Here is a 15,681-nt window from a genome sequence, read left to right on the forward strand (position 1 = left end):
TGGCATTCTGCTCTCATTCTGTCTGACTCCTATATCTAACCCTAATCAGCCTCTGAACTCAGACAAGGGCAATGAGTGCTATTTATACCTATGCCAGCACCCTCAGACCCACTAAGTGCAGCCACATGGGGCTTTCGCTCTTGCAGGTGGTTGATAGTAGCTTTTCCATTTACTATGTTTCTCAGCAACATCTAAATTTAGAGGCTAGCTAGTTGAGTCCTAGGCTGACTACAGAGTCTTGGTGCAGTTCTAGTCATATTAAGTTGGTGCAAAAGTAATTGCGGTTTTTGTCACTGCAGTGGCAAAACCTGCAATTACTTTTGCACCAAACTAAGAAATCAGCGTCAGGTCTAAGAATACAGAGCTAGAGCCATAGCTGCAAATCTCAGTCTTCATCCTGACCCATGAGTTTGCATGGTTGTTCACAGCCAATCATCATCTCCCACAAGGCCTCAGGTTGGTTCCAAACTTCTTAATTACAAAAGAATTGGGAAAGCTTCGTTTCAGAGATCCCAGGTGTCTTTCTGCCCTCAAAGAGTAGTAGATTTTATTTTTTTAAATTAAAATGAGGTAGGAGTCATTTTCATGAGTTTGATTTAAAAACCATCAAGAAAAAGGAAAAGCGAATAAAGTTATTTCCATTCTAAAGGCTAAGGAGGCAAGTTTTAAAATGTCCATGGCTTGAATACTATGTCATCTGAAAACAGGTGTCCATAGAAAAGAACCACAGTGGTATGACAAATGTTCTAGCCTCTTAACTTATTAGAGTAAGTATTCCCTGACCACCTTGGCTTTTCCAAAATTGTCACATTTCTTCTTTCGTAAGACATTGTTAGTTTTAAGGTGTCCCAATAATATCTTAGGTGATCTGTTAGTCCATCTGGGCTGCTATAAAAAATACCTTAGACTGGGTAATTTATAAACAACAGAAATGTATTGCTCAGCTCTGGAGGTTGGGAAGTCCAAGATCATGGTACCAGCAGATTTGGTGTCTGGTGAGGGCTGCTCGCTGCTTCCAAGATGGTGCATCTTGCTGCTTCCTCACATGGCGGGAGGGGCAGGAGCATGCCCTCCAACCTCACTTAGAAGGTGTTATTCCCACTCATGAGGGTGGAGCCCTCATGACTTAATCATCTTTTAATACTATCACATTGGGTATTAGGTTCTAACACATGAAATTTGAGGGGACACCATCATTCAGCCCATAGCAGGTCATGTGTTACCAATCCATCAGTAGCTTCCTAGGCTGATCATTTTTAGATTGACATTGATAGATGTTTGCTTTCATAATTGATTAAGGGAATCAAACATAAAAAAAGAGAAATAACAATAACAGGGCTTTTTTAGAGCTTATTTCACACAGGCAATGCCCTGAGTCTGCTAGATACATACATACATAAAATGTCCTGCATTAGAGAAGACTTGCAGAGCCATTAGAAGAAGCACAGAGAAGCATCTAAGACCTTTTATTACTTGGTTAACATTTTAAAATATTTTCTATAGTTTCTGTGCAGTGATTACAAACACAGGCTCTAGAGTCAAACTTTGGTTCTCCCATGCATTTGCTACATGATTTGAGGGAAGTTACTTAAATTCTCTTTACCTCAGTTTAGGACAATTATTGGGGTAATAATATTACTTATCTAAAAGTTGTAAGGATTGAATTAGTTAATATATATAAAGCATTTATCATAATACCAGACACACAGAAAGCATTACATAAATGTTATGAATTAAACAAATGATAGATATAGATAAGAAAGAAAAAATGTGAAAATTTCAGACTGAGTATATAACTTACTCTTATTCCTATAAGTAATAAACTAATATTTATAGAGCAGGTTTTGGCCTGTGTGAGCATTATTATTCTGGAGGGAGAAATTAATTATTTCAAGGCTAAAAAACATATCTGATTTCATGTTGGAGTGAAACTGCATTTATTTAAAAGTCCCAAAATAAATTTACCCTCATAGACATGTCAAATTTAAAATTTCTCCTTAACTGGATTATATCAGAGACAGCAATGTTAAGCCACACACATTCTAGATTTTTTTAAGTGAGGCTTATCTGTTTTAAATAACTCAGTCTGCAAAACACTGCTACAAATTTTATACTAATGACATATTGGAACATTAATAACTTGCCTAGGACAGCTCTTGAAACAACATAAAAATACTTTTCAGATAGCTGTTGGCACTTCTATTTCCAAACTCTTGAACCATTAAGAAAAAGAAAATGGCAACAAAGAAAAAGCAACAAAGTCCAGCAGATAAACATATTAGGACTTATTCACATGAATACACTTTGAATTTGGCTAGGAACCAGATCTCTTAATGTCCGGTCTCTGTCCATGTAAACAGAAGATGTGCCACTTGACCCAGCTCTCTGTCCACATCAGCTCATCCCCAGAGGCAAGTGCGCTTGGAGACTGAAGAGTGACAAAAGGGAAGGAGGCTCAGTTTCGGTTTCCTGTGGAACTCAATGAACTAGTGTTGAGCTTTATTTTATGGAAAATGGGGCAACAGAAAACAGGGAATGAGTTATTTTTAAAGAGATTTTTAAAGACACATAGGGATGTTAGGAGTCTCTTGGGCAAGGTGACAAAGTACAACCTAGAATGAGAAAAAAGGAAAACTCTCCCAATGTCTCTTCAGTGAGAAAGAAAAGGTGCTGTAATAATTTAAAATGAATGACTAACTCAATGGCAAGGGACAGAAACCCAACTTGCACTAGTTTAGCAGAAAGGCATTTTATTATATGGTTATTAGAATGTCTAAAGGAGCTAAAGAAAAAAAAAACAGATTTGGGGGTTTGGGGAAAACCAGAGCCATAGATGCAAGAATCACCAGTACTTCCTTTCAGTTTCATCACCTGGGTCTATTCACTGATAGGTGTTCTCCTTACACTTCTTTCTCTTTGGAAACCATGTGTCTCCAGTCCTGTAATCCACATGGGCAGAGAAAACAAAATGAGCAAGCAAAACAAACAGCAACAAAAAGCTGGGATCTCTTCAGCTATCAGGTTTCACCTTTGGCCTCTGCTTCTCTGTTTCAGTTTCAAAATTTGGCCCAACTGGGGCCAGGTGTCAGTGATAGCTGCCCCCATGGTTAACTGTGTGTGGCGAATGGAAGTTTCCCAGAAAAGCAGTAGGCTGAAAGGCAAGCTATGAAGGACAGGAACAAATCCTTTCCTAAAATAAATTAGGATGTCCCCCATAGAGTAAATCTGTAACCACAGGGCTTCCCTTATGCAAGTTTTCAGTTTTAATTTATGCTGTCTATGTGATTTAAATATAACCAACTAGAGAAACTAACAAAGAAATATGGTGTTGCCTAGTAATATTCCTGGAGCACCTACAGAAGCAAACCTAGAGCTCCTTGGATGGCCACATTCTCAGGTAAAGTCACATGCAATCCTTAAGGATAAATAAACTCTGCTGAAGATCATCTCTCCATGAATTAGAATTAGTTGACAATAAACAGCAGAAACAAAGTACTAAGAACTTTAGACAATATAACTGTAATATGCAGTCTTTAACTAAATTTTGTTTTATTATTAGAAACATGGTAAAAGAAAAAGACATTAGTTATAATAGAAATACAAGTGAAGTCATTGATGATAAACATTTAATTCATGGGTGAAGACCTGCTAAGAAATAGCTGAAGAGAGAATTAGTGAATTGGAAAACTGATATAAAGAAATCATCCAGAGTGTAACTCATAGAGTTGAGAGGATGGAAAATGTGCAAGAGAGTTCAGATGACAGACTAATCCCGATATTCATTTAGTAAGAGTTCTACAATTAAAAAAAAACAGTGAGAAAAGATAAAGGGGAATAATAATGAGAATTACCCATAATTAAGAAAAAATAAATCATTATTAAGGAAGAGCAAAATGAGTTCCAGGAATGATAAAAATAAATCCAGACCTAAATTATTAGCAAATCTCTCATATAGGACATGCAATAATCTTTCTAAATCAATGGGGCTTCATTCTGAATCTATACCACATGGCAGTCAGCTCTTGATAAAGTGCCCATCCCATTCACAGAAATTCGGTTTCAGTTAGTGTTCAGTGAGGTACAACAAGTGTAGAGAAGAGCCCCCAGTGACTCTGAGGTCTAGCAAGAATCAAGGCACACTTTTTAATATATTACTCCTTTCTCCACTTTAAACCTTACTGTCAGTTGTTGGCCATTAACTTTGTCATGGTGTCCTTCATTGAAAATAATTCTGTAACTACATTACATTTTTTTGTCACATTTTATGCTTTTCAAGTTTTATTTAAAAAGTTTTTCCCAAGCACAGGGTTTACAAAAATATTATCCTATATTTTCTTCTACTTATTTATTGATTGATTCATTTTGAAACGCAGTTTTGCTCTTTCACCCAGGTGGAGTGCAGTGGCGCAATCCTGGCTCACTGCAACCTCCACCCTCCCTGGATTCAAGCAATTCTCCTGCCTCAGCCTCCCAAGTAGTGGGGATTACAGGCACCTCCCACCATACCTGGCTAATTTTTGTATTTTTAGTAGAGACGGGTTTTTGCCATGTTGGCCAGGCTGATCTCAAACTCCTGACCTCAGGTGATCCACCCGCCTCAGCCTCCCAACGTGCCAGGATTATAGGTATGAGCCACTGCATCTGGCCTCTTCTACTTACTTATAGTTTTACCTTTCAATTGAGATATTTAAATCATATATTTAAATAGAAATCGTTTTATTTTTCACAATGGAGAGAGCCAGTTTTTCTCTAAACATTGTACCAAATAACCCATCTTTTCCCCATTATTTTGTGCTTCCATATTTAATATGTATCAAGCCTGAAAATATACATGGGTCTCCCTCTGAATTCTCTGGCTTAATTGCACTTCCCTCTCTACATTCTTCTGGCTTAATTGCAGTTCTTGAGCCACTGCTCCATTTTTTTTATTTCTGTGTCTTTGAAAGCATTTTTTTAATTCTCTAATAGGGAAAATATAAAGTTGACTTTATCTTTTATGGACCATTCTTCTCCTACATATTTTTTTGGAATAACTTTACTGAGTTCTACTGGAATTTTGATAGAGATTGCAGTGCATTTATACATTAATGGAGAATTGACATTTTTATAACATTAAGTTGTAACTTAAGCTATGGAATTATATGGAATGTTACTTAGATCTTCTATGCAGCTGTTGGGAGAAAAGCTGAGTGTTGGGAGAGAAGCTGAGGCAGGGCTTGCATGTCTGACATAATGTAAAAGAGTCTTGGAACATGTCCAGGGTCCAGGGTCTCAAACCCCTTGTGGCCTTTGGAACACCAAGCTCTGTGCTAAAGGGTGGAAGGCTACCCTGATGCACCATAATCTAAGCCCAGGGCATAAAACCCCTCGTGGCTTGGATAGAATCCAGGGCTTGTGGCTCTTGAATGTGTCTAGACTTGCTGGCTCCTTGCTCCTTGCTCTCCCAGGGTCGATTGTGTCTTGAGTTAAAAGAACCTGCTCTCCATTATCTCAAGTAGCAGAGCATATGCTAAACCATCACAGCTGTAAATCATGTGCTTAATGCAATGCTCCCTTTCAACCCCACATTCTCACCACCTGTTTCTTTGTTTGATCACCAATAAATAGTCTGGGCTTCCAGAGCTCAGGGCCTTTGCAGCCTTCATACTCGTGTTGGCCCCCTGGACCCACTTTCTCTCTTAAACTGTCTTTTCTCATTCCTTTGACTCCACCATGCTTCGTCACCCCCATGACCTGGTGTTGGGTCTGATCACCCCAACAGCAGTTTATTAGAGATTTAAAATTTTCCCCATGGCTATTTTTTTTTAGTTAAGTTCCTAGACACTTTCAAGTATGAGTTGCCATTATAAAGGAAATCTTATTTTTAAGTTTACTTAGTTATTGTTAGTGTAATTATTGTTGTAACTAGATACTGCATGCAGTGACCTTGTTGAATTATGTTAGTTATAATAGCATAATAATTCTGTTGGTCTTTCAAGCTAAATTAATCAAATCATCTGCAAATAATGAGAGTTTTATCTCTACCAGTCATCACTCTTGTTTGTCTTTGTTATACTGGATAGGATCTCCAGTATTGTGTCAAAAGGAGTTGTAAAAGTGACATTTGTGTCTTTAACTAAACAGATTCAGATCAAGAATCTCCTTTTTATTCCTACTTTGCTAGATTTCATTTTAAATCCTAAATAGTAACAAAACCAAATGCTTCTTCAGGATCTACTGAGATAAGAAAGTATCTTCTCCTTACTGTATCAAAGTAGTGAATCAAGTCATTAGATTTTCTGATGCTTAGCTGACCTTGAGTTTGGAGTAAACCCTACTTAGTCAAGATGCATTTTAAGAGCACAGTTGAATTCAGTTGGCTCTTCTTTTATTAGGATTTACATAATTTTGTTCATAACTGAAATGGGCCCATAATTGCCTTTTTGCATTATATTAGCTGGTGTTCAAATAAAACGTACCCCATTCTCACTGTTAAAACAAGTGTAATTCTTATATATCCCTCTGGCGGGAAGGTATAATTGCACAGCTGCTTGGAAAACAGTTTGGCAGTTTCTTAATTTTTTTTAATTTGTCTTTTCTTTGAGACAGAGTCTGGCTCTGTTGACCAGGCTGGAGTGCAGTGGTGCAATCTCAGCTCGCTGAAACCTCCGCCTCCCAGGTTCAAACAATTCTTGTGCCCCAGCCTCCCAAGTAGTTGGGACAACAGGCATGCACTACCATGACCAGCTAATTTCTGTATTTTTAGTACAGACATGGTTTCTCCATGTTAGCTAGGCTGGTCTTGAAGCCCAAGCCTCAAGTGATCCACCCACCTTGGCCTCACTATGGGATTAAAGGCGTGATCCACTGTGCCTGGACTTTTTGGCAGTTTCTTATAAAGTAAAACATACAAATAATACATGACCTAGAAATCCCATATGTATTTATTCAAGAAAAATAAAAATATGCATTCATTCAAAGAGCTGTTCATGAATGTTTCTAGCAGCTTCATTCATAATAGATAAAAATTAGAGCCAATCAAAACATCCACACACTGGCAAATACACAAAATGTGACATATCTATGCAATGGAACTTGACTTGGCAATAAAAAAAACTATTGATACATAAACAAATCTTAAAAGTACTATGTTCATGAAGGAACACACACACTAAATGCACACTGTACTTTCCAACTTACATGACTTCCTGAAAAAACAAGATTGGAGGGACAGAAGTCAAGCCAGGGTCAGCCAGTGACTGGGGGTTGGAGATGCCTACAAGGGGGGCCAAGAGATCTCTCTGGGTGGGGGCGTTCTTCATCCTGACTGTGGTGGAGGTCACATGATGATGCAACTATAAATTCTCATTTACTTGTGCAACACAAGAATGAATCTTGCCATATATAAATTATATATCAATAAGCCTTCATTTAAAACAAATAAATGCTACCACATGTTGGACAAAGTAATGCAGATAATGGAAGTTGGCAAAAGATTATTCAAAAGAAATTATGTCAAAAATTCTTATTGAGTAATAAAATACGATTTTTGCATTTTAAGCCATGTAAAAGATGGCACTAATAAAATAATGTTGCTTGTACCTCAGGTTAAGTCGGGTGTACATGTACAGTAATACTTTATTATGAAGAATTATAAGCCTATATCATAAACTAATTTTTAAAACTCTAGATGTTTAAATGCCCAAAGAAAAAAAAAAGATGGCTTTTCTTTATAACATCACACACCTTATGTGCCACAACAAAGCAATCTTAAAAAGCAATGATTAAAAATCAGATGGAGCTACAGTAACTAAAACAACATGGTACTGGTAAAATCAACAACAACAACAATAAAACAGACACATAGACCAATACAACTCAATGGAAAACTCAGAAAGAAAGCCACACATCAAAAACCATCTGATTTTCGACAAGGCTGACAAAAACAAGCAATGAGGAAAGGACTCCCTATTCAATAAATGGTGTTGGAATAACTGGCTAGCCATATGCAGAATATGGAAGCTGGACTCCTTTCACCATATATGTAAATTAATTCAAAATGGACTAAAGATTTAAACGTAAGACTGTAAACTATTAAAATCCTGAAAGACAACCTAGGAAATACTCTTCTTAACTTTGTCCTTGGCAAATAATTTTTGGCTAAGTCCCCTAAAGCAATTGCAACAAAAGCAAAAATTGACAAATGGGACCTAATGAAATGAAATAGCTTCTGTACAGCAAAAGAAACTCTCAACAAAGCAAAAAGACAATCTTTTGCCAGATGAAAACTATGCATCTGACAGAGCCTAATACCCAGAATCTATAGGAAACTTCAAGAAGCAAAAACAACCTCATTGAAAAATGGGCAAAGGGCATGAATAGACACATCTCAAAAGAAGACATACAAGTGGCCAACAAACAAATGAAAGAAATGTTCATTATCAGAAATCATCAGGGAAATGTAAATCAAAACTACAATGAGATACCATCTCATACCAATCAGAATGGCTATTAAAAAGCCAAAAAACAGAAAACTGACTTTAAACCAATAAAAATCACAAAAGACAAAGAAGGACATTAAATTATGGTAAAGGGTTCAATTTAACAAGAAAAACTTAACTGTCCTAAACATATATGCACTCCAGACAGGAGCATCCAGATTCTAATGATTTAGGCATCTAGATTTTATATGGTGACAGTCAAACAAAATGTGTTTATGATATAAAAATGAATGAAACAAACAAAATCCAATTTAATGAGTTATTATTTCTCATTTTGAACCATGTATCTAAAATGATATGTGCACATTAGCTGCTTTATAACTACTTATCAGCATTCTGTCAATCATGAAGTCATTTCTTTTAACTTTTATTTTAACTTCAGGTTACAAGTGCAGGTTTGTTACATAGGTTAACTTGTGTTATGGGAGTTTGTTGTAGAGATTATTTCATCACCCAGGTATTAACCCTAGTACCCATTAGTTATTTTTCCTGATTCTCTCCCTCCTTCTGAGAGGTGACAATGTGCTAGCAGCCCTCGCTTGCTCTCGGCACCTCCTCGGCTTCGGCATCCACTCTGGCCACACTTGAGGAGCCCTTCAGCCAGCCACTGCACTGTGGGAGCCCCTCTCTGGGCTGGCCAAGGCCAGAGCCGGCTCCCTCTGCTTGCGGGGAGGTGTGGAGGGAGAGGCGTGGGCAGGAACCAGGGCTGTGCATGGCGCTCGCGGGCCAGCGTGAGTTCCAGGTGGATGCGGGCTCAGCGGGTCCCACACTTGGAGCAGCCAGCCGGTGCCACCGGCCCCAGGCAGTGAGGGGCTTAGCACCTGGGCCAGCACCTGTGGAAGGTGCGCCAGGTCCCCTAGCACTGCCAGCCTGCCCGTGCCATGCTCGAATTCTCGCCAGGCTTCAGCCGCCTCCCCGCGGGGCAGGGCTCGGGACCTGCAGCCTGACATGCCCGAGCCCCACCCCTGCCACTCCCGTGAGCTCCCACGTGGCCCGAGCCTCCCTGACGGGCACCACCCCCTGCTCTGCAGCACCCGGTCCTGTCGACTGCCCAAGGGGTTAGGTATGCAGGCGTGCAGCGTGGGACTGGTGGTCAGCTCTGCCTAAGGCCCCAGAGCGGGATCCACTAGGCGAAGCCAGCTGGGCTCCTGAGTCGGGTGGGGTCTTGGAGAACTTTTATGTCTAGCTGGAGGATTTTATATGCACCAATCAGCACTCTGTGTCTAGCTTGGGTTTGTGGATGCACCAATCAGCACTCTGTGTCTAGCTGATCTGGTGGGGACTTGGAGAACTTTTATGTCTAGCTAGAGGATTGTAAATGCACCAATCAGCACCCTGTGTCTAACTCAAGGTTTGTAAACACACCAATCAGTGCTCTGTGTCTAGCTAATCTAATGGGGACTTGGAGAACTTTTGTGTCTAGCTAAAGGATTGTAAATGCACCAATCAGCACTTTGTGTCTAGCTCAAGGTTTGTAAATGCACCAATCAGCACTCTGTGTCTAGCTAAAAGTTTGTAAACGCACCAATCAGTGCTCTGTGTCTAGCTAATCTGGTGGGGACTTGGAGAACTTTTATGTCTAGCTAGAGGATTGTAAATGCACCAATCAGCACTCTGTGTCTAGCTCACAGATTGCAAATGCACCAATCAGCACTCTGTCTAGCTAAATGTTTATGGATGCATCAATCAGCACTCTGTATCTAGCTAATCTGGTAGTGACTTGGAGAACTTTTATGTCTAGCTAGAGGATTGTAAATGTACCAATCAGCACTCTGTGTCTAGCTAAAGGTTTGTAAACGCACCAATCAGTGCTCTGTGTCTAGCTAATCTAGTGGGGACTTGGAAAACTTTTATGTCTAGCCAGAGGATTGTAAATGCACCAATCAGCACTCTGTGTCTAGCTCAGGGATTGTAAATGCACCAATCAGCACCCTGTCAAAATGGACCAATCAGCTCTCTGTAAAACAGACCAATCAGCGCTCTGTAAAATGGACCAATCAGCTCTCTGTAAAATGGACCAATCGGCAGGATGTGGGTGGGGTCAGCTAAGAGAATAAAAGCAGGCTGCCCAAGCCAACAGCAGCAACCTGCTCGGGTTCCCTTCCACGCTGTGGAAACCTTGTTCTTTCACTCTTCGCAATAAATCTTGCTGCTGCTCACTCTTCGGGTTCGTGGCGCCTTTATGAGCTGTAGCACTCACCGCAAAAGTCTGCAGCTTCACTCCTGAGGCCAGTGAGACCATGAACCAACTAGAAGGAACGAACAACTCCAGACGCACTGCCTTTATGAGCTGTAACACTCACCGCAAAGGTCTGCAGCTTCACTTCTGAAGCCAGTGAAACCACGAACCCACTGGGAGAGATGAACAACTCCAGACGGGAGGAATGAACAACTCCAGACGTGCCTCCTTAAAGAACTGTAACACTCACCGCAAAGGTCTGCACCTTCACTCCTGAAGCCAGTGAGACCACGAACCCACCAGAAGGAAGAAACTCCAGACACACCATCTTTAAAAACTGTAACACTCACTGTGAGGGTCCGCGGCTTCATTCTTGAAGTCAGGCAGACCAAGAACACACCAATTCCGGACACATTTTCACCCCCTACTGTTGAGTACATCCCAGTGTCTGTTGTTTCCCTCTATGTGCCATGAGTTCTCATCATTTAGCTCCCACTAATAAGAATATGCAGTGTTCGGTTTTCTGTTCCTGCATCAGTTTGCTAAGGATAGTGGCCTCCAGCTTGACCCATGTCCCTGCAAAGGACATGATCTTATCTTTTTTTATGGTTACATAGTATTCTATGGTGTATATGTACCACATTTTCTTTACCCAGTCTATTGCCGGTATGCATTTATGTTGATTCCATGTCTTTGCTATTGTGAGTAGTGCTGCAATGAACATACATGTGCATGAGTCTCTATAATAGAATAATTTATATTCCTTTGGGTATATACCAAGTAATGGGATTGCTAGGTTGAATGGTAATTCCCTCTTTAGGTCTTTGAGGAATCACCACACTGTCTTCCACAATGGTTGAACTAATTTTATGCTCCACAACTTCAACAACATCTGTATTTTTTGACTTTTAATAATTGCCATTCTGACTGGTATGAGATGGTATCTCATTATGGCTTTGATTTGCATTTCTCTTATAATCAGTGATGCTGAGCACAAAGCAAGTTCTTAGAGACCTTCAAAGAGATTTAGTCTTTTGTGCAATAACAGTGGGAGACTTCAACACCCCCACTGACAGTATTAGACAGGTCATCAAGGCAGAAAATTAACAAAGATATTCAGGACTTGAACTCAACACTAGACCAAACGGACCTGATAAGATATCTACAGAACTCACCATCCTAAAAAGACAGAATATACATCCTTTTCATCACCACATGTCACATACTCTGAAATCAATCACACAATCAGACATAAAATAATTCTCAACAAATGCAAAATATTGAAATCATACCAACTACTCTCTCTGACCATGGCTCAATAAAAATAGGAATCAAGACTAAGAAAATTGCTCCAAACCATACAATTACATGGAAATTAATCAACCTGCTCCTGAATGACTTTTGGGTAAATAATAGAATGAAGGCAGATATCAAGGAGTTCTTCAAAACTAATGAGAACAAAGATACAACATACCAGAATCTCTGGGACAAGCTAAAGCAGTATTAAGAGGGAAATTTATAGCACTAAACACCCACATCAAAAAGGTAGAAATATCTCAAATTAACAAAGTAACATGACGACTAAAAGAACTAAAGAAGCAAGAGCAAACCAACCCTAAAGCTAGCAGAAGACAAGAAATAACCAAAATCAGAGCTGAACTGAAGGAGATTGAGACACAAAACAATTCAAAAGATTAACAAATCCAGAAGTTGGTTTTTTGAAAAAATTAGTAAGAGACTGCTAGCTAGACTAATAAGAACAGAGAAGATCCAAATAAACACAATTAGAAATGATAAGTTGGATGTTACCACTAACACCACAGACATACAACCATCAGAGACTACTATGAATACCTCTATGCATACGAACTAGAAAATCTAGAAGAAATGGATAAATTAAATCCCTGGGCACATACATCCTCCCAAGACTAAACCAGAAAGAATCTGAACCAATAACAAGTTCTGAAATTGAATTGGTAATAAATAGCCAGCCAACCAAAGCTCAGGATCAAATGTTTTCAAAGCTGAGTTGTACCAGACGTATAAAGAAGAGCTGGTACCATTCCTACTAAAACTATTCAAAAAATTTAGGAGAAGGGACTCCTCCCCAACTCATTCTATGATGCCAGCATCATCCAGATACCAAAACATGGCAAACACAAACACACACACACAGACACACACACACACACAGAAAACTTCAGGCCAATATCGTTGATGAGCATTGATGCAACAATCCTGAAGAAAATACTAGCAAACCAAACCCAACAGCACATCCAAAAGCTAATCCACCACAATCTAGTAGGCTTCATCCCCAGATGCAAAGTTGGTTCAACATACACAAATCAATAAATGTGATTCATCACATTAAGAGAACTAAAGACAAAAATGCATGATTATCTCAATAGATGCCAAAAAGACTTTAAATAAAATTCAACATCCTTTTATATTTAAAAATCTCAATAAACTAGGTACTGAAGGAACATACCTCAAAATAATGAGAGCCATCTATGACAAACCCACAGCCAATGTTGTACTGAATTGACAAAAGCTGGAAGCATTCCCCTTGAAAACTGACACAAGACAAGGATGCCCTCTCTCACCACTCCCATTCAACATAGTATTGGAAGTCCTGGCCAGAGCAATCAGGCAAGAGAAAGAAATAAAAGCCATCTAAATAGGAAGACAGGAAATAAAACTATCTTTGTTTGCAGATGACATGATTCTATATCTACAAAACCCTATCGTCTCAGCCCAAAAGCTCCTTGATCTGATAAACAACGTCAGCAAAGTTTCAGAATACAAAATCAACACACAAATATCACTAGCATTCTTACACACCAACAGCCAAACCAAGAGCCAAATCATGAGTGAACTCCCATTCACAATGGCCTCAAAAAGAATAAAATACCTAGAAATACAACTAACCAGGGAGGTGAAAGACATCTACAATGAGAATTACAACTACTGCTAAAAGAAACCAGAGAGGAAACAAACGAATGAAAAAACATTCCATGCTCATGGATAGGAAGAATCAATATCATTAAAATGGCCATACTGCCTAAAGCAATTTACAAATTCAATGCTATTCCTAACAAACTATCAATGACATTCTTCACACAACTGGAAAAAAACTATTTTAAAATTCATATGGAACCAAAAAAGAGCCTGAATAGCCAAGGCAATCCTAAGCAAAATGAACAAAGCTGGAGGCATCTTATTACCTAACTTCAAACTATACTACAGGGCTACAGTAGCCCTATACCTATACTGGTATAAAAAGAGGCACAGAGACCAATTGAACAGAATGGAGAGGCCAGAAATAAGGCCACACACCTATGACCATCTGATCTTTGACAAACCTGACAAAAGCAAGCAATGGGGGAAAGGACTCCCTATTCAATAAATGGTGCTGGGATAAGTGGCTAGCTATATGCAGAAGATTGAAGCCGGACCCCTTCCTTTAGCCATATACAAACATAAACTCAAGATGGATTAAAAACTTAAATGTAAAACCCAAAACTATAAAAACCCTGGAATATAACCTAGGCAACACTATTCTGGACATAAGAACAGGCAAAGATTTCATGACAAAGACACCAAAAGCAATTGCAAAAAAGGAAATGTTGGCAAATGGGACCTAATTAAACTAAGGAGCTTCTGCACAGCAAAACAAACAACAGAGTAAACAGATAACCTACAGGATAAGATAAAGTATTTGCAAACTATGCATCTGACGAAGGTCTAATAAAATCCAGCATCCGTAAGGAACTGAAACAACTTTACAGAAAAAACAACCCCATTAAAAAGTGGGCAAAGGACATGAACAGACACTTTTCAAAAGACATACATATGGCCAATGAGCATATGAGAAAAAGCTCAGCATCACTTATCATGAGAGAAATGCAAATCAAGATCACAATGAGATACCATCTCAAGCCAGTCAGAATGGCTATTAAGAAGTCGAAAAATAACAGATGCTGGTGAGATTGTAGAGAAAAGGGAACGCTTATACACTGTTGGTGGAAGTATAAGTTAGTTCAACCATTGTGGAAATCAGTGTGGTGATTGCTCAAAGATCTAAAGACAGAACTACCATTCAACCCAGTAATCCCATTGTTGGGTATATACCCAAAGGAATATAAATTATTCTATCCTAAAGACACATGTACGTGTACGTTCACTGCAGCACTATTCACAATAGCAAAGATATGGAATCAACTTAAATGCTTATCAATGGTAGAATGGAGAAAGAAAACGTGGGACATATACGCCACAGAACACTATGCAGCCATAAAAAAGAATGAGATCATGTCCTTTGCAGGGATGCAAGGGAAGCTAGAGGCCATTATCCTTAGCAAACTAACTCAGGAATAGAAAACCAAATACTGCACGTTTTCACAAGTGGGAGCCAGATGAACACATGGACACATGGAGGGAAACAAGAGACACTGGGGCGTATTGAGGGTGGAGGTGGAGAGCAAGGAGAGGATCAGAAAAAAGTAGCTATTGGGTGACAGGCCTAGTACCTGGATGACAAAATAACCTGCACAACAAATCCCCTTGATATGATATACCTATATAATAAATCTGCACATGTACCCCTGAACTTAAAAAGGTTTTTTTTTTTTGTAAGAAAAATACCAAAACACAACAGATACTGGTGAGGCTATGGAGAAAGGGAACACTCATACATTCTTGGTGGGAATATAAATTAGTTTAGCCACTGTGGAAAGCAGTCTGGAGATTTCTCAAAGGACTTAAAAGAGAGCTACCATTTGACCCAGCAAAGCCATTATTAAGTATATACCCAGTGTACTATCATGTGGGTCCCACCCTAACTGCAGCACAGGCTGTGAATGTCCCTGTCCACCACCCTCCTGTGGTTACCCAGCCTTGCAGGCTCCGGCAGCCTTTGTTTCCTCCACCAGGAGGCAGGGTTATTTATATTTCATTTCATTTCATTTCATTTTTTGAGACAGAGTCTCACTCTGTCACCCAGGCTGGAGTGCAGTGGCGCGA

The 15,681-nt window shown here is 39.4% G+C and overlaps 1 protein-coding gene across 11 annotated transcripts in view, besides 1 other annotated feature; it reads right to left on the reverse strand.

The window, feature by feature from the left end:
- Positions 1-15,681, reverse strand: part of WDR27 (WD repeat domain 27) — a 275,610-nt gene that overhangs the window by 44,456 nt on the left and 215,473 nt on the right. Inside the window, exon 26 of one of the 11 annotated variants that reach the window (XM_011535691.4) lies at positions 2,872-2,939. The exons of the other annotated variants lie outside the window; for them this stretch is intronic. Within the exon in view, the coding sequence (XP_011533993.1) occupies positions 2,901-2,939 (39 nt within the window). The 3' untranslated portion in view covers positions 2,872-2,900. The remainder of the gene's footprint in view (positions 1-2,871; positions 2,940-15,681) is intronic. 11 annotated transcript variants of the gene reach the window in all.
- Positions 2,904-3,003: an enhancer, noted in NCBI's record as "active region_25462". NCBI's record gives its function as "activates an Ori minimal core promoter by ATAC-STARR-seq in GM12878 lymphoblastoid cells {active_cell/tissue: GM12878}" and the evidence as "EXISTENCE:reporter gene assay evidence [ECO:0000049][PMID:35858748]".

The sequence above is a fragment of the Homo sapiens genome, chromosome 6 (assembly GCF_000001405.40).
Source record: "Homo sapiens chromosome 6, GRCh38.p14 Primary Assembly".
NCBI lineage: Eukaryota > Metazoa > Chordata > Mammalia > Primates > Hominidae > Homo > Homo sapiens.